The sequence below is a fragment of the Homo sapiens genome, chromosome 2, assembly GCF_000001405.40.
Source record: "Homo sapiens chromosome 2, GRCh38.p14 Primary Assembly".
Classification (NCBI taxonomy): Eukaryota; Metazoa; Chordata; class Mammalia; order Primates; family Hominidae; genus Homo; species Homo sapiens.
The window spans coordinates 234,581,297-234,601,200 of NC_000002.12; the positions used below are offsets into that span (position 1 = coordinate 234,581,297).

A 19,904-nucleotide genomic window follows, 5' to 3' on the forward strand; every position below is an offset into this window, starting at 1 on the left:
CCTAGCAATACAAAACACAAAAATACAAATGTTTAGCAGCAAACAATGATTTAAGCCTGGAATAAGCAATTCTCCCTGTTTTCATCATCAGTGTCATACCCTTTTCTTGCTGCCAGACACAAACAGGAGACCAAATCCACTTTAGACAACGGTCTTTGGGGGCCTCTGGGGGTCTTTTTGATTCTGCAAAGCTTTGAGCCAAGGAGGAGGCATTTAGAGAAAGACAAAATCCACACAATAAAAATACTTGTTGGCTGTTAATTGGAAATTCAGAATGCACGGCTGCAGGGCATTTATTCCTGCTGGCAGCCTCCCCGTCCCCAGCCCCTCAGTCCCGGAAATTCTGGAATCTGAGGGTGAGACGTTTTGCTGGCTTTGGCTGGGACATTAAGCAGAGGAGTAAAGGGGTCACAGGGTGATTGTCTCCGAGCAGAGAAGGAAAAGCCCCCACTGTATTTCCACCCATTGCACCCACCAAGTCCAGCAGGGGAAGCTCACGCTGGTTTCTCTCAGACCACCCCACACCCACAGAAATCCCCAGGCTTCCCCTTCTACTTTTTAAACCTCAATCCATGGCCCAGCCCTGAATTCGCGGCAACACAGCCAATTCTCATTCCCTTTTCTTTCCCCTCAATCTGTTTCAACAATCTCCAGCTGCAGAACATTCCAGACCTCTGTGTTCTCCACACTGACTGCCCACTTAGGAGGAGCGTGAGATGAAATCCCCCATCACCAAGGCTGCTGGCACCGTCTCATTGCCTGTCTCAGCTGAGCCTTCAGTCTTGCTTGACTAACTTTTTTTTTTCTTATTCGTCTTCATTTCTCTTTTCATTCTCTACCGCAAACATTCCAAATAGTCATCAGGTAAAGCGCTAAACAGGTGCATTAGTCTCCCAGGGCTGCCTTAACCAATGACCACTAACCAGGTGGCTTCAAACAGCAGGGATTTATTCTCTTGCTAGTCCTGAAAGCTAGGAGTCCAAAATCAAGGTGTCAGCAGGTGGTTCCTTCTGGAGGCTCTGAGGAAGAATCTGCTCCATGCCTCTCTCCTAGCTTCTGGGTTTTCCAGCAACCCTTAGTGCTCTTAGCCTTGTAGATGCCTCACTCCAATTCCTGCCTCTGTGTTCATGGGACCCTCTTTCCTTTGCCTCCTCTGTGTGTGCCCAAATTTCCCTCTTCTTATAATGTCACCAGTCACTGGGGTAGGGTTTTCACTAATACAGTACAACCTCATCCAGTAAGACCTCATCTTAATGTGATTACTTTTGGAAAGTCTCTATTTCCAAATAAGGTTACATTCACAGGGACCAGGGGTTATAACATCTTTTTGGAGTAGACAATTCTACCCATTATAAGGTGTCTGATATTTAGAAAGCACTTGATAGACTTCAGCTTTCTTGTTAAGAAATCATTATCTAGCCCCTAAACTCTCATCAAATAATTTGCATTTTCTTTCATTAACTAGGTATTTCCTCAGCTTTGTTCCATTTCACCACATCCTCATAGTTTCCTCTCCTGTCTCGCAGGGACCTCCCTCTGTTTCCAAGGCTAGCCCTCCACTTTTGTTTCTCTCTTTTTTTTATTTTTGAGATGGAGTTTCGCTCTTGCTGCCCAGGCTGCAGGGCAATGGCGTGATCTCGGCTCACCGCAACCTCCGCCTCCCAGGTTCAAGCGATTCTCCTGCTTCAGCCTCCCAAGTAGCTGGAATTACAGGCATGTGCCACCACGCTTGGCTAATTTTGTATTTTTAGTAGAGATGGGGTTTCTCCATGTTGGTCAGGCTGGTCTCAAACTCCTGACCTCAGGTGATCCGCCTGCCTCGGTCTCCCAAAGTGCTGGGATTACAGGTGTGAGTCACTGGCCCCCTGCCTTGTTTCTATTTTATCCCTAGCTTCCTGACTCTACTGAAAACCCACCTGACACAATCTTGATTAAAAATCTCCCAAGGTACCCACTGCCTCTAGGAGACATCACTCTTTTAGGAACTACTATCGTGCAAGGCCTTCTTAGCAAGCCAGCCTCCTACCTCCAAAGTGAGATCAGCTTTGCTGGCTTCAAGGCATTCAGAAGCTCACCACACCTCTTGCTTCCACAGTAGGTTGCTGGGAAGGTCCAAGGTCTCTTTCCCAGCACCAGGTGAATGTGCTAGAAGATCTGCTTCTTCTGGAAGCATCCCTACCACCAGCAAACTTTCAGAGTTATTGTAGGCACCATGTGCTCTTTGGCCATTTCTCTGGGAACCTTCACTAACATACTCAGGGACCTCGTGCCTTCCCAAGCTTCTGATTGGTCCAACCCGAATTTCATAAGCATTTAGCTTGCAGTTAACAGGAATCTGTATAAAAGTGCCAAGTATCTTGCATTGGGTTCTAAGGGCCATAAAAGCACCTCAAGAAGACGAGAGGACCTGGGTTTGCACAGACAGTCGATGGGAGGGTTTTAGATGAACTGTGGAGTAGGAGGCATCTTTGAGGGATCACAGAGACCAGGAGTAAATGAAACTGAGTACGAGTAACTCATTTTTGTGTCCCCAACGAGAATGTGAATATGGTGGGCTTTGCAAACTGTAGTTCAATTAGCTTGACATTGATCCCAGAAATAATTCTACTGTGGGATATATTTTTGATGGAGTAGTTAATCCCAAATAAGAAAGCAAGGAAAGCTTTACTGACTGAACAACACTCATTTCCTTCTGTGATGAGTTGCTAGGGTTTTAAAAGAGGGATATAGGCTGGGCGCAGTGGGTCACGCCTGTAATCCCAGCACTTTGGGAGGCCGAGGCGGGCAGATCTCGAGGTCAGGAGTTCGAGACCAGCCTGGCCAACGTAGTGAAACCCCCGTCTCTACTAAAAATACAAAAATTAGCTGGGTGTGGTGGCATGCACCTGTAGTCCCAGCTACTCGGGAGGCTGAGGTGGGAGAATCGCTTGAACCCAAGAGGCGGAGGTTACAGTGAGCTGAGACCATACCATTGCACTCTAGCCTGGGTGACAGAGTGAGACTCTGTCTCAAAAAAAAAAAGAAAAAGAAAAAAAAAAAGAGGGATATGCAGTGACCATTGACTCACTGACTTTCTTCCCGGTGTGTTCCATGATGTCGCCATGCCAAGTGCCCTCCAGCCTCCAATCAAGCATCTTCAGTGACGGGGAACTCATTACCTCCTAGGGCAAGTAATCCCATCTTTGAGCTGTTCAGGCTGCGAGGACATTTTTTTTCTTCTGTCATGCCAAAATTGGGCACCCTGAGCCTTCTCCTCATTGCTATTAATTTAAGTATTCACAAGTTCATTATGTGGAATTTGTCACCACCTGCACCCTGACACTGAGCTCCTTTCCACTACGCCTGACATCAAATTATGATTGCTGGCAGCCACATCTCTCTGCTAGCTCCTACTAGGACTCCTCTCAGTTAAAACACATAGCAGTGGCTAAGCCATGGCCACCCCCATGCTTTATGTGTACTATTGGATTTATTACTCAATGCAGAGTCTGACATTACCTGTGTTCAGTTCATTTTCTTAGGTGGTAGTTCTTAATTAGGACTAGGTGCCAAAACCACCTGCAGAGCTTTTTCAAAACATGTAGGTATGGTCCTCTCTTCAGACAAACTGCATCAGTCCATGTAACACAATATATCGTACCCACAGGGAAGATGGATTATTTTCTCCATTTGGAGGGTCCTGAAACCTAGAACACACAAAACAGCCTAAAAAGAAGGATGAATCCAATATGCAGAAAGTTCTGCAATAGAAGGTGAGGTAGGTCCAAGAAATAAAACTTTATTATTGTTATTATAATCCTATTTTCATCCCCAAGCTGGTGCATTCCAAAAAAGCATGGGTTATTAAAATTAAAAGGAAGGCAAAAAATCAGAGAGCAATATTTGCAATAATCATAAGAGACAAAGAGCTAATATTACAATACAAACAGAGTTCATAAATGTCAATAAGAACAGTAGAAACTCCAGAGGTAAACATGCTAATGGTGTTAATTGATACTTACAGGAAGAGAAATAGAAATGATGAATAAATATGGAAACAAGGTCACCACATGCCTAGTTATCAAAGAAATGCAAATTAAAATAATATCAAGATTGTTTTCAGAGTATTTAAAAAATTTGTTCAATGCTCTCTGAAGCATAATGAAGCAATCTCTTACATGCTGCTTCTGAAAATGGACTAGCAACAATTTCCACTTTGGAGACTCTATCATAAAGAAAAACAACATTCTGAAAAGCATGTATGCCCCTACATATTAATTTTAATAATGTTTAATAGTATTTTTAATGAAGTGAAAATGGAAATCATCTAAATGTTCAACATTAGAGGAATGGCTAAGTCAATTACAATTATCTCCTGCAGAGTGCGGTCTGAGTCCCATCTCCCCGGTGAGCACTCAGGACTTACTTCTTGATCAAATCTCTAATATTCGAGGATCACATCCCACTGTGATTACCTGTCTCTGTATTTATCTATCTATTTGCTTCCTCATCTGTGAATTCTTTGTGGCAGGGATGCTTTTTACTTATATGTCCATTTCCATTATGACTGTACTATATAACTTGTAGTAGAGAGTCAATAAATATTTATTAAATGAATAAGAACAAAATGTACATAGATTATCCTGTATTCATAAAAATGATATTGGGAGCATGTTAGGTCATTAAAAATGCTCATGTGATAATGACAGAAATGTCAGGGAGAAAAAAAGTAGAAAAGGAAGAATGTATTATTGTATTCATAATGATAAAAGAGCTTACATTTATTACGCTCCGTTTATGTTTTGTTTTGTTTTTGAGACACGGTCTAGCTCTGTCGCCCAGGCCGGAATGCAGTGGCATGATCTCGGCTCGCTGCAACCTCCACCTCCTGGGTTCAAGTGATTCTTGTGCCTCAGCTTCCCAAGTAGCTGGGATTATAGGCATGCACCACCACACCTGACTAATTGTGTTTTTATTAGAGATGGGGTTTCACCATGTTGGCCAGGCTGGTCTCAAACTCCTGACCTCAAGTGATCCATCTGCCTCGGCCTCCCAAACTGCTAGGATTACAGGTGTGAGCCATCACACCCAGCCTCCTTTTGTGTTAAGTGCAATTTATATATATTTTGTTTGCTTTTAATCCCTTTAATGATCCTTTGGGGTTCCAACTATGTTTTAATTTTAAAGCAAATAGCATTTTTATTTCCACATCGCAGATTAAGAAGACAAATCTTAGGGCGTTAACAAATTTTGTCAAGATGATACTACCAGGCTTAGCTGGGGCACTTACCCAGGCTGTATGACCCCAGAACTGATTTCCTGAATACCATGCTGTACTGTGTCTAGTGTGAATATGGACAAAACAAAGACACTCAACCCTGCACTGAAAAAGTGTTGTACAAAGCTCTCCAAATATTGACCATGATTGGCTTTGCTTACTAAGACTATAAAGGTTAGTTTTCTTTATTACAAATTTTCTATATTGACCTTGTATGACATTCACAATGGGAAAAGTAATTAATGCTTAAAAAAAAAAAGCAATGGCAATTGAGGTGGACATGTATTCACTCTAAAACAAAAATCTAGCTTAGAACCCACCCAGAGTCCTGTTTGCTGAAACATTAAAAGGACCTTGTCAATAGCCTAGAGTTGGGTGACCCAGATAGCAGGTCGCCCACGCATGCGGGGAATCAGCAGAACTGGACAATAGATTGAGAGAAAATTTTAACTTGAATAACTTACCCAGAAATTAGAAAAACCTGGAAAGAAGCTATTGAAATGTCCAAATGCATGTAGGGATTATTGCACCGTTTGGTTTTGCCTGGATTGTCATTTCACACAGCATGCGGGGACTTATTCTCCAGCACTCAAGGCCTCCATGTTTTTATGTGGCTGAGCAAGAGATATGCATTCTACAAGGCGAGCTCACAGAATGGCTTCAAGAAGGGTTGAACGTTGTGGTCTATTTTCAAACCATAAACCCAGACACGGATGGGGTAGAAGGCTACAGAGGGGAACGAATGAAGGGACATTTCCTATCAAGTGCTCAACATGTCCTATGCACAGGCCCATTGGACTTTTCTCTGGGGCTGTTAACTGGGGGAGCTGAGACTTGCCTTTGAAGTACATCATGCCAAGGAGTTGAATTCGTGTCAGCAGGAGACACTGCACAGGCTCCAGGGTGGTCGAGTGCTTATTGGACATGGCATGAGTAGTCCTGTTGGTATTTCATTGTAATTCACCATTAATTTCAAGCTGATACCAATGAATAGGACACTGTGACAGACTAATGGTTTCCTGCCCCATGCTGATGGCAGCTGAAGTGTTCATTTTTCTAGCTGGAGGCATTGATCTCAGGGCCAGAGGTCAATTACAAAGACTATCGAGTGAATTGTGACTAATGTTAAAACATTTTGCAAAAACATAACATAGTGGGGTTTCACAAAAATGTGATAAACGTTCACAGAGTCTTTGTTCAATTCTGAGAATTCTCAGTAGGATGGCAAGAATAAATGCTGTTTGTTTCGGGCAAACAGAGAGAAACATGAGCAGCTTCCTAGAGGTGACCACACTTTCAAGAGGCTCTGGAAGGTAGCAGGGTAGAAGCACACTGTTATTTGTTTTGTTCATATTAACTGAGTACCCAGATTTCAACAAGAACCTGGATGAAGGAAGGGCCATCAAAAAACCCAATTCTCAAATGTCTCGGTCTGGCCTAATGAAACCCTTAGCCAACAGTGGATCCAATGAACAGGTTTGAAAGACCATTCATCCTTTTCATAGTGGATTAAAAAACATGTGAATAAGCTTTTCACTCTCTTTTCTCACTGGAATAAATACTTAAAACCTCCTCCAACCAACTTGTACATAATTTTCTCACAACCGCAAAACCATGCACTCAACTCCTCTATCCCTGACCTTCCTGAGCTCCGTGTGACCGCACAAAGTCACACGACACTCCTTTTAGCTGAGTGTCTAGAATACCAGTAAATTCTCTCCCACAGAACTCAAGTGAAGGGCCCTTGTGTTCAGCCACATCACAGAATTCTCTGGCTTGTGATCTGATCTTTTTCTAGCATGTGATTCCAGTAAAATGACCCATTATGCCTTAAGTTACAAATATTTACAGGCCTAGGGTCAATTTCCTTAAATTTGATTTTATTTTTGGTCCCACTAGTATTTTTTTCAGAAATTTAAACAGTTATTGCCAAAAATTATTTCCCTTCTATTTCAAAAAGCATGACCAGAATATTTGCAAAACTCATGGACTGTGATTGTTGGATACCATTGTTAGTCAACAGAGATAGTTTAGCATCTCTTGGCCAATCAAAAGTCAGGTTTTCTTAAGATTATATTCATCCTAATTGTTTGCTATTGGGTCTTTTTCCAGTTTGCATTTTTATTATTTTCCTGTCTGTATCTTCCCCCAATTTTATTTAAATGTAATTGACAAAGAAACATTGTGTATATTTATGGTGCATATGATATTTTGATATGTGTGTACCTTGTAAAATGATTACCACAATCATGCTAATTAATGTATTCATCACCTCACATAGTTATTTGTGTGTGGTGAGAACGTTTTAAGATCCATTTTCTTAGCAAATTTCAATTATATGATATAGTATTGTGTTAGTTTGCTCTCGCACTGCTATAAAGAAATACCTGACAATGGAGAATTTATAAAGAAAAGAGGTTTAACTGGCTCACGGTTCTGCAGGTTGTACATTAAGCATGATTCTGCCATCTGCTTGGCTTCTGGGGAAGCCTCAGGAAACTTACAACCATGGCAGAAGGAAAAAGGGGGAGCTGGCATCTCATATAGTGGGAGCAGGAGGAAGGGGCAGGGAGGTGCCACACACTTTTAAACAAGCAGATCTCACGAGAACTTGCTCACTTTCGCGAGGACAGTACCGTGTGGGGGGATGGTGTTAAGCCATTCATGAGAACTCTGCCCCCATGATCCAATCACCTCCCACCAGGCCCTACCTCCAGCATTGGGGATTACATTTCAACACGAGATTTGGGTGGGGACACAGATCCAAACCATATCAATTATTAACTCTAGACACCGGGCTGTGCATTAGGTCTCCAGAACTTATTCCTCTTGCATAATTGAAATTTTGGATCCTTTAACCAACATCCCCCCATTCCCGCTCCTCAGTCCCTGCAACCATCATCCTACTCTCTGCTTCTATGAGTTTGACTTTTTAAGATCATCACAGTTGTTTTTAATTTGACATTTAAAAGCTCTTAGCAATGAAGAGACTCTCATTTAAATAAAATTATGAACACACATTTTTTCTTTTTCTTTTTTTTAAATAGAGATGGGGTCCCACTTTGTTACCCAGGCTAGTCTTAAACTCCAGAGATCAAGTGATCCTCCTGTCTCAGCCTCCTGAAGTGCTGGGATTACAGCCCCACCACACCCAGCCCATTTTTTATTTTATCTTCATATTTTCCTCTTCCCTTTCCCCCCAGCACCCTGTCTTCATTCAAGTAGATCTGTAGCTTTGAGCTAAAGAGGAGACATGGGACGGGGCACAAATCATAAATAAATAGACAAATAAATAAAGCAGAATGAATAAATCTTCTCTTTAAAAGCCTAAGCCCTTAAAACACCATAAAAGGTTTACAGCATGGACAAAACGTTTCAGAAATATGGGTGGGGTTTCCTTAGAGACAGGAACGCATCTCTGGACTGGGGGAAGGAAATGGATAAATGTTGAGGAGAGAGAATGTTGGTGGGTCTCAGACAGAGCCACTCTCGGGTGGGCCCTGGAGGGGCTGAGACCAGGTGCTGTCAGTGGGGTCAGGGCAGGTAAGACATTGGGTAACCATGGAGGTGTTTTTGTGCCTGAGAGAGGGTGGCACTGAAACAAATGCATGTTTCCTCCCCCACAGTGATGCTGAGAGCTGCACTTGAAGGGGCCAGGTGGGCAGACAGATAGTTCATGGTAGCAAGGCCAGTGCCCTCCAGCCAAACCACCAGGAGCACAGCTGCAGTTGAACTCAGTTGGTTTCACTGACACATTGCAGTAGGCAGAAGAATCATGGGCACGTAGGTAAGAGGCATTGGAAGGACCTATTATAGAGCCTGGGCTCATGTTAGGTAATGCAGGGAAGGGGTCAAAGAACCGGGACACCAATCCAGGTTGGATGCTTGCAGGAAGCAAGCGTGATTCTCTGAGTGCATGCTTATTTTTATCTGGAAGGAGGAGGGGGTGCAGAGACTAAATCTCCCTGGGAAAGAGGCAGCTGAGGCACATCACGCTTGCTCACTTTGCGGCATGGGCAATCCTCATGCTCTGTCTCTGTTCAGGTATGATGATGGAGCGCGCTCGTCTGAGGGTCACAGAGTGGCCTGGTGTGGTGTGAATGCTCTGCGAAATTCTGTTCAACAGGACACCCAGGACCTGTGGTGAGAGTCACACAGCTCCCAGCAACTTTCAGGACCAACTGATAGTTCCAGGCCTGCTCCCTTTCTCCGCAGAGACCTGTGCAGCTCAGTAGCTAAGGGCAGATGAAGGCACACCTGCATGGGTTGACAACCCGAATCTAGAGAGCCCCGCCCTGCAGTCCCACCAGAATGCTTGGTGATACGCAATTTTAAAGGACCTGCATTCTTGAGGAGCCCATATAGACTGAGACTGTTTTCTTCACTCCGACAGAGCTGAGGGTCTAAATAGAAATTAATCTGAAGCTACAGGATAAAGGCAATCATATTTCTTGCAAACCTGAGTTGTGGCAGAGACTGCTAACAGTTGGATACTCCAGGTCTACACCGTGAGCTGGCTACAGACCCTCAAATTAGAGCCATGCCATTTCTAGGCAATGGCTGTGGTCTTTTAGCGGCCAATGCTGATTTCAGAAATGTCAGTGGCTTCAGGTGGCATTTAGTTTCAAAGTTTCCTGCAAAATCTTCTACATTCCCCAAACATATCAAGACCATGAGCTGAATAATGAGCTGATGGAGCTTCTTAGGATTTTCTGCTGACTTTAGTTCTTTGTTTCCAGGAATAGTCCTAGAAAGGATTCGGGGCATAGAGAGTTATCTAGAAGGCCCCTAATACAAAGTTGGAAATTCTTTAAAAAAAAAAAATAGAATCTTGGCTGGGCACAGTGGCTCGTGCCTGTAATCCCAGCACTTTGGGAGGCTGAGGTGGGTGGATCACCTGACATCAGGAATTCAAAATCAGCCTGGCCAACATAGTGAAACCCCATCTCTATTAAAAATACAAAAAATTTGCCGGGTGTTGTGGTAGGCGCCTGTAATCCCAGCTACTTGGGAGGCTGAGGCAGGAGAATCGCTTGAACCTGGGAGGCAAAGGTTGCAGTGAGCTGAGATCATGCCATTGCACTCCAGCCTGGGTGACAGAGTGAGACTGTTTAAAAATATATATATAATCTTTTTCCTCGGCGATGGAAGTGTAATTCCTGTGATACCTGCTCTAGGTTTCAGGACAAGGGCACCTGGGTTCCCCATCAAATTGGCAGTCCCTTTAAGCATTCGCAAATTCATCAGCTCAGGCCATATATGGTCAGAGAACTGGACAGAATAACAAATCAAAAGAAAATCTCCCAAGCAGAAGTTTTCCAAGACAGCCACTATGCATTTAAACAAGCAAAGCTTTCCACCTGTTTACTTTGCTTGTGGCAAAACTGACTACTTCCTGCAAATGGTACCCGTGAAGAGAACCAACAGTGGATGTAGCAGCCATGGGGGGGCTCCAGGCAGCTAGGATTCTAGAAGATTCTAGAGAAGATGCTCCTCTGGATCTTAGTCATCACTAGAGAGTCAAGGTTTAGAGACTGAACAAGGAGAAAGGGAGAAGGAGGCTGCTGGCATTCAGGCAGGGAAGCCAGCCCCCAGCTTCTGCCCTAGATTAAAGACAGGGTCTCCCAGGACACTGCTCTTGTTTGAGGTTCAGGGCATACCTGGGCTAAGGGGAGTTGTTTCTGAACTGGTGGTTGAGTTTCTTGGGGGGGAATAGAGCTATACTAGAAGGAAAGGCAACCTTCTCAGAAATGGAGGGTGGCACCAACTCCTTCTTCCAGGGTGGGAGCTGAGGCTTCAACCAGCACCATCAGAATCCAGGGTATGTACCTGGAGCACCAAGGGCCACTGCCACCCCAGGAGGTAGTGTACAGGAGGTGGGTACCATCCTGGGACACCAATCTGGGACAGAAGCTCATGTTCTATTCCATGTGGATGGGAAGCCCATGCTTGCTAGTATATTTGTGCATATATACACGTGCACAAGGTGGAGGGATAAATGGCTTTCTCCCTTCAACCCCCTCTCTCCTCACTTTCCTACCTTTCACGAGGACAAGCCCCTTTAGCATGATACGTAAGACTTAAGTGATTACAAGGCGATCAGTATCACAGCGACAGTGAGCTTGTCTTATCATGCTTGACTCTGAAAATGATGGGGACTAAGCCCACAACTACCCAGGCTTGGTCACAAAATGCAAGCAGGACTTGCAGTCCTGGCCCACACACAGAGGGGATGGTGAAACCAGGACTCAGGTGGGAGAGTGCAGAAAAAGAAAGTGAGTGAGAGCCTAAGCCAGAGAGGGCTCCTGGGTTCTTGTATAAGGTGGACACTGGACGCCCTGCAAGGTGAAGAGATGGGAACTATAAAGGAAAGCTTCCCACCATTTCCTGTTCTCTGGGTGTGCTCAAGTTGACTTCGGGTAAGTGGAGCTCCTGATAATAATGGACTTGGCCAGCAAAGCTTCTGAGATGGTTTAAACTTGCTACACACACACACACACACACACACACACACACACACACACACACACCATACTGATGCACACACACACACAAAAACATACACACCACACCCATATACCACACATAAAACATACACATGCAACACACACACACACATTTGTGATACAGTTTTTTTCTTAGTCTTTCTGAATTGTCTATTCCTAAATTCAATCTCTATTCCTTCAGGAGCCCCTAGCTCTAGAAAGCCCAGAACAAAAATAGGCAGCCATTGTATGTTTTGTAAACTGTGTACTACCCGTCTCCATTTCTTTCTTTTCTTTTCTTTTTTTTTTTTTTGAGATGGAGTTTCACTCTTGTTGCCCATGCTGGAATGCAATGGCGTGATCTTGGCTCACTGCAACCTCCACCTCCCGGGTTCAGGCAATTTTCCTGCCTCAGCCTCCCGAGTAGCTGGGATTACAGGCATGTGCCACCATGCCCAGCTAATTTTTGTATTGTTAGTCGAGACGGGATTTCACTCACATTGGCCAGGCTGGTCTCGAACTCCTGACCTCAGGTGATCTGCCCGCCTTGGCCTCCCAAAGTGCTGGGATTACAGGCATGAGCCACCACACTTGGCCCTCTGTTTCATTTTTGACTGTAAAAGTCAATGGGGTGGTGTCCTAATGAGACAAAAATAACTGAGGCTTGGGACAGGAAGCAAAGATGAATGTTCCTACCCCTGCTTGTCTCAGGGAGTCATTTGTAATTGAAAGAGAAAAGTGCTTTAAATTTTTCTCTTTAGGCCAGCTAACCACAACATGTCCTACTTTTTAAGCTCATGGGTTGCCCTCTTCATTTCTAAGGGCACATGCCTACCATGTGGAGCATACCAAGAGCTGGGGTTCTGTGGATAGGGGTTAGGCCCTGCTCCTGACTGCAGCTGCAGAGAGTTTTCTTCTGCCTTCTTGACCCCGACACTCTAAGTCCTGGCCAGATCCTCGTGGCTTGCTCATGGACATGGTAGCCTTCCTGCCAGCTGGAGGAACATCTCATTTCCCCACATATTTGAGAGTGGTCATTATCCAGTAGCAACATGTACATCAAATCCTTCCTCTACACAAGCAGCTAATTTAAAAAAATCAAGAAAGGGGGCCGTCTATGAGTGGGCCCATAAGACTGTTCTTCCTAATGGATCCTGGGTCTCTGCCTGCTTTCCTCGTCAGACACTCCCACTTTATTAGATGCTAGGATGTGCCACTCCCTCTAAGAAATATGTTTATGGCTAAGGAAGCCTCTTCCTGGGTTTCCAAATGTTTATGCTTCTGCACATTTTCATGGATCCTCCTTTGAAAGAAAGGCCAATTGTTTAAGTACCACCATGGAGGTGGGAAGACCTTAAGTGTCCCCAAATTGTCAGACCCTAGAGCAGACTTCATTTCACATTGCAACTACAGTTCATCAGTATAGTATGCAATGACTTGTGAGTGATACTGGACTCACCTCTTAGAATACATGCACTGAGGAGGTTCCAGAGGTCAGAGTAGACCTAATTCAAAGTTAAAGTGAAGGTGCCGAAGGGAAGCCAAAGATGTCAGATCAATGTGTTTCATTCTAAGAAATACATTGGGATCTCCTAATGGAATATCCTAGTGGGAGCTTTCATACGATGATAAAGTCATGAGGAAATGACCATGTCTAAAGAGGCAAAGGCCCATCATTAAGATGAAAAATTATTTTGCATTTTACTAAACCATTCTATTTTCTTTAAAGTGTCTCTTTTTGTGCTGTACTTTCATATAAGAGCCACAGTGATCATTTTCCACACTCCATCCAGCCACCTAAAGCCTTACTTATGTTCTGAGACTATGGCCCGAAAGACACAGCAGCTGAGTGTGCACTTTCTGTATGGAGCTAGACTTCCTCTGGGATCACAATCTCCCCTTCTCCCTCAGTGCCTGGGTGGGGTGACATAGAAGGGAGGTCAATGAGTCAAATGAAGTGACCGTCGGGGGGTGTGTAGACGGGAGCCTGTAGCTCTGCTCCCAAATTCTTTTCGAGCACCATGGTTGTCTACTTCTCTTGGTTGTCCACTTTTCTAGCTTAAAAATTTTGCTCTATGCAAAGTTTTTTATGAAGACGGGCTTTGAGTCACCTTGCCCACCCCCCCCCACAAAGAAACCACTGCCCTAAACCCCTGAAGTTCAGTACTTTATTCATTGACTGTGCAACAAGGACAACTGTGTCCTTGTTGTCAGCTAATATCTTAGTTTGGAACCTTCCAGTCACAAAGACTTGAATGCAGGAGTTACTTGAGGGGTGGGGGCTCATCCTGAGAAGCATGAAGGAGGGAGTGGAGAAGGTGAGACTGAGAAGCAAGGAAATGCAATCATGGTGTTTGCTGAGCAAATCTCCACTGGGCAGCTGAGGCCGGCCCCACAGCATCATGCAGAACACGCTTAGTGGCTGCCCCTCCGATGGAAGGAAAGCTGGGATATTTATCTCTAATTCTCATGCCTCATTCGTGGAGGGTTTATCCTAAAGGTGTCAAACTACCTAACGGGTTCTCCTTGTCCACTGCCCAGACAGAGCCGATTTATCAAGACGGGGGAATTGCAATAGAGAAAGAGTTTAATACACACAGAGCCAGCTAAACAGGAGACTGAAGTTTCATTACTCAAATCAGTCTCCCCAGAAATTCAGAGACTGGAGTTTTTAAAAAATAATTTGGTGGGTAGGGGGCCAGGGAGTTGGGGGGAGCTGATGGGTCAGGTTGAAGATGAACTCTTAGGGGGTCGAAGTGGGTGGGTTGTTCTTGCTGCCTTCTGTTCCTGGGTGGGACTGCAGAACTGGTTGAGCCAAATTAGTGGCCTGGGTGGCTCCAGATGGTGCATTAGAATGCACGGTCTGAAAAATATCTCAAGCACCAGTAGGTTTTACAATAGTGATATTATTCCTAGGAGGTTTGGAATCTTGTGGCCTCTGACTGCATGACTCCTAAACCATAATTTATAATCTTGCGGCTAATTTTTTTGTCTTACACAAGTAGCCTGGTCCCCAGGCAAGAAGGAGGTTTGTTTCAGGAAAGGGGTGATATCATCTTTGTTTCAACGTTAAACTGTAAACTAAATTCCTCCTGAAGTTAGGTCAGCTTACACCCAGGAATGAACAAGGGCAGCTTGGAGATTAGAAGCAAGATGGAGTCAGTTGGGTCAAATCTCTTTCACTGCCATAATTTTCTCACTGTGATGATTTTTGCAAAGGTGGTGTCAGTGTTAGATCCCAGAATTTCTGGGCTTCTTGAGCTTGGGCTGAACAAGACCTGAGGTGCAGTGCCCAGCAACCTCGTGGGCAGAGAACCAGTGAGACACAGCTGGGAAGCTGTCAGTGGGCAGGGATCTGTCTGCGAAAGCTCCAGGGACACTCAGGTGTGTGCGTGTGGCAGGAAGTAGGTACGGGGTGGTCCATCAACAGCACATGCTGCAATTAATTTTCATAAATTTACAGAGGTCCTTGGTTGCTGATGTTTATACGCAACTCCTGGGTTAATTATATTCAGAGTTATAGAGAAAAGGTCTCCTGGATGAATCAGGAAAATAAAACTTAACCAAATTGAAAAAGAAAAACAGGGCTGTTTTCCCTTGCCCCTGCCTTTTAACTTTAATATAATGATGTGCTACCACCGTGGGGTGTTTTGCATAGATGACATTCATACTTGCTCTAGTCCCATACGCTGGCAGACCCTCCCACTATAAGGAACAAAGGGATAAATGGAATGAGAGGAAGAGTTGGAAATTACTAAAGCTTTTTTTCTTTTGTTTTCCCCTGAGTGTGGCATCCTTCAGCCTTGGCTCCCAGAGAAACAGCAGGGTTGAAATTAACATGAAAACAGAGGGAATCCAAAGAAAAGAAAGCAATTTCAGCTTATGAAATTCAAAGTAGGATTTCACAGAACTAGTGCACTCTCCAAGACGAGGCAGGATTGTAAGAAAGGATTAGCACACTAAGAGCCAGGCCGGGACTATGAGGCCATTATCATGATGATGATTATTAGGCCATGGACTTTAATGTAAAGAGAGTAGGTGGGCCCCCCTCCTCACCCATGGGAGAAGTTTATGGGAAGCTGTGGTTCTCATTTCCCCTTCCCGGATCTGACTGAAAGGGGGCTATGCTAGACAGACATAAGGTGGCCCAACATATTTCAGAGGGTCAGCGGCATGGTCAAAGAGAGTGCTTTGGGTTTGAATCGTTGAGTCTCTGGAAGCTCCCAGGTGGCCAGGACCAGTGGCTGAGGCCACACCCTGGGGGGCTGAACTGGATTCTACCGGCATCAGCTGAAGGACAGGACAGAGGCTCAGGGGACTCAGTTGCTCTTCTGAACCTGGAGGAGGCACATGGACAAAACCAGGCCCTGACTAGCAGAGAGGGAACAGAACATGAGCTCGTCCACTCTAGAAGTTGGCAGAATACCCAGCGAGGGGATAAGGACAACCTTCCCCTGGGGGACAGCAGAACTGCCACGCCTCAGGCGCGATCTTCCCTCCACCACCTGGCACAGTCTGGTGGGGATGCACTCCTGTCAGCCAGGATGGTGGGTGATTGTCATTCTGTGGCTTGGTTCTTCGGTTGATCTGTGTTCAGATGCGCCATGGGTGGTTTTGGTCTTACTCTGTGGTGGGCACAGTCTGATGCGGATGCTGATGTTCTGTGACGTCATTTGTGCTCAGCAGGAGAACGCCAAGACCAGGCTGGGTGTGCCATGTGGCTCCCTGATGTCAGGGGCTGCCTGTCTCTTTTCCATCAGAACCTAGATTAGCTTCATGTGGACAAGCATATCAACATAGTCCGTTAGATAGCTTCCAAGCACACTTTACTATAGAAAAAAATGTAGCTTCCCAGGAAGAAGGAATATGAATCAGGTAGAAATGGAGTCCTTATTCATCAAATAGCTTGGTCTGTTCGTTAACTATTTGTAAAAAGAGCAACTTAGATCCAGACTTAGCAACATACTGCACGAGAAATTTCAGTTAGGTTAGAGAAAATTGTGCTTCAGAAAATCTAAGAGCTAACATTTTAGAAACACACATTAAATATATTTTTCAAATCCTCGAATGTCACAGGATTTTCCAAGTTGAAGCACCAGCATTTATCTCAAAGACAGTCATCGGTATAGTTGAATCCATCAAAATTTAAAATAGTATGTGTCAAAGCACACTATAAATAAAACGAAAAGTCAGACATCTCATTTTAAAAAGTGTTTTAAACAAAAAATGAGAAATGAAAATATCAATAATATTTAAACAGCTCACATACATCAATAGAAAGGCACTAAAATGGACAAATGCATGATCAAATGTATACCAGTTTGATATATAAATGATTACTAAATATTGGGACAAATGCCTTGCTTTGCTAATAACAAAAAGTAAACAATCATAATATACAATGAAAAAACAATCATACAAACAACAAAACAAAACATAATTCCATGTCCTAAAACCGTGAACAATATTTTTTAATTGAAAATGCCAAACAACCACGATCATGTGTTTAAAATGAACACTCTCAAATACTGTTGGTAGGGTTATAAATTGTTCCAACTTTCTTTAAAAGTAACTTAGCACTGCATATACCCATGTCTTTTAGACTTCTAATTCTACTTCTAGAAATCTAACCTGGAAAAATATTTTGAAATGCAAAAGTTTTTGCACAAGACGATCATAGAATATTTATAATAAGTAAATATAATACAATATATAATATAAATATAAATATAATGTAAATATAATAACAAAAGAAAAAAACCAGAAGTTACTTAGGTAACAAAGGGAGGGTGGCAAAAGTCATATGGCTTTCTATAAAATATAATGTTATGAATTGTATTTCACAGAGTCCTAATGGCTTGGGAAAAATCTTTCTATTTAATGTTTATTTGTCCCCTTCAAAAATACTTTAATATTTTAAAATATTAAATATGATATTGCATGGTCATGTTTGACCTTTAAGATATTAAGGATTTTAAAAGGAGTTTTTTTTTTTTATCATGAGTAAATTTTTTTGTTTGTTTGTTTTTGTTTTTGTTTTTTTTTGAGACAGAGTCTCACTCTGTAGCCCAGGCTGGAGTGTAGCGGCGCAATCTCGGCTCACTGCAAGCTCCGCCTCCCGGGTTCACGCCATTCTCCTGCCTCAGCCTCCCAAGTAGCTGGGACTACAGGCACCCGCCACCATGCCAGGATAATTTTTTTGTATTTTTAATAGAGACAGGGTTTCACCGTGTTAGCCAGGATGGTCTCAATCTCCTGACCTCACGATCCGCCCGCCTCGGCCTCCCAAAGTGCTGGGATTACAGGCATGAGCCACTGCGCCTGGCCTATCATGAGTAAATTTTAATTTGTCATCTAATATAGAAAAAAAACCTACTGATTTAAAAAATACTGAAGATTTTTTTGAGGATTTCTTTTTCTTGGTATTTGAAGCAAATAACTGAACCCTCCCCATCTCAGCAATTAGACTCTACCTTTGGATGGAAGCACACATTCAGTAGAGTTTTAAATAATTACAAATGATTCACTGTGTCAAGCAGCTTGTGTTTTTTCATTCTGACATATGTGTAAATCCTTTTCTTGAGGAAAAACAATTTGATCTTTATTATTCCAACACAGCGTGGGTGTCTGTCATGAATGAAAATGTCAATGCATTTTCATAACAGAATATACCTTTTGGTATTGGCAAAGAAATTAATTCTTCATTGCACCCGCTGCATAAAGAAGCGACTTTCATCCTGTGTAATGTGTGAGCCTCCATGTTGCATTATTAATGTGCACTATTTACAGGCGTACAATGCAGACAGCAATTTCCCATAAAATTGCTGAGTGTTTCGTCTTGTTCATTTGAAATGATTTGAAAATGGTCATTCAACCAGATTGTTATGGTAATGCTACAAATTTAAGTAGTATTTTAGAAACAATAATGTAAAATTTGGTAACACAGTGAATCATGAAAGCAGGTGTTTAAAAATTACCACCAAATCCTCTAAGTCAGAGACAGAGAGTTGTATTCCACCAGCCACAGGTGGCTCCTGGGAGTTGCTGGTTGGGCTAGAGATGCTGCTATTTCCTTCTTATTTTGTCTCCTGCAGATCCTCTCCTCCTGCCACTGGGCAGCCCCATGTCCTCTGTGCCTCCCTCACCCCCCACCTCATCCCTACGCCCACCACACACACAGGCTGATTACATTAGAAGCAATGCCTACTTCCTCTGGGCCAATTAGATTGTCTGCACAAGGAATTTGAAATTGAGACTTGAAGGCAAGTTGGCATGCAGTGTAGGGCACTGGAGCTATAAACTCATTGTGATCCTCAAACACAGAATGACCATGTGGCTCAGCAATTCCACTCCGAAGTATATGCTCAAAAGCACAGAAACACATACTCAAGGACATGCATGTTTATGGCAGCATTGTTCACAACAGCCAAAAATGTGGAAACAATCCAAGTGTCCATCAACAGATGAATGGGTCCACAAAATGTGCTCTATCCATACAATGGAATATTACTTAGCCATAAAAAGGAATGAAGTTCTGACACATGCTACAATGTGGATGGACCTCAAAACATCACACTAAGTTAAAGAAGCCAGTCACCAAAAAGCACCTATTAAATGACTCCATTCATATGAAATTCCAGAAGAGGTAAGTCCACAGAGACTGAAAACAGATTCGTGATTGCTGGCAGCTGAGGGGAGGCGGCAGATTCATGGGCATGGGATTTTCTTTTGTGGTGATGAAAATGTTTTGGAATTAGCAAGAGGTAGTGGTTGTACAGCATTGTGAATTGTGCATGTTTAAGTGGTTTATTTTATGTTATGTGAATTTCTCTTCAATAATAAGAAATATATATAGATTTGGGGTTCAGAGTTGGTACCCTGCAAAGACAGATGCCAGATGAACCATGACGGAGCATAAATGAGGAGGCCAGCAGAAGAAGCTGGCAACAGAGAGGATGTTGAGGTGGGCATGCAGAGAAGCAGAGGCAGGTTGAGGAGGTGGAGATGGGTGGAGCCAGAAGTTATTGGTGACATTCCAGTTCCTACAGTCAGAGTTCCCCGCATCCCTGCAGTAAATATCCTCTTATCTCAAGTGGAATGGGCTTCTGCTTCTCGCATCCCAACAGCCTCAGGAGGTCCTAACGACATGTGCCTAAGGTAGT

General features: G+C 43.5%; 1 long non-coding RNA gene across 1 annotated transcript in view, besides 2 other annotated features; it reads right to left on the reverse strand.

The window, feature by feature from the left end:
- Positions 1-14,906: 14,906 nt before the first annotated feature.
- Positions 14,907-19,904, reverse strand: part of LOC105373936 (uncharacterized) — a 36,506-nt gene continuing 31,508 nt past the window's right edge. Inside the window, exon 3 of the long non-coding RNA XR_923998.3 lies at positions 14,907-16,514. This is a non-coding gene — a long non-coding RNA (uncharacterized LOC105373936). The remainder of the gene's footprint in view (positions 16,515-19,904) is intronic.
- Positions 15,094-15,634: an enhancer, noted in NCBI's record as "OCT4-NANOG-H3K27ac-H3K4me1 hESC enhancer chr2:235505034-235505574 (GRCh37/hg19 assembly coordinates)". NCBI's record gives its function as "activates a minimal SCP1, AML or CMV promoter by ChIP-STARR-seq in naive H9 embryonic stem cells {active_cell/tissue: H9 hESC(naive)}" and the evidence as "EXISTENCE:reporter gene assay evidence [ECO:0000049][PMID:30033119]".
- Positions 15,635-16,175: an enhancer, noted in NCBI's record as "OCT4-NANOG-H3K27ac-H3K4me1 hESC enhancer chr2:235505575-235506115 (GRCh37/hg19 assembly coordinates)". NCBI's record gives its function as "activates a minimal SCP1, AML or CMV promoter by ChIP-STARR-seq in naive H9 embryonic stem cells {active_cell/tissue: H9 hESC(naive)}" and the evidence as "EXISTENCE:reporter gene assay evidence [ECO:0000049][PMID:30033119]".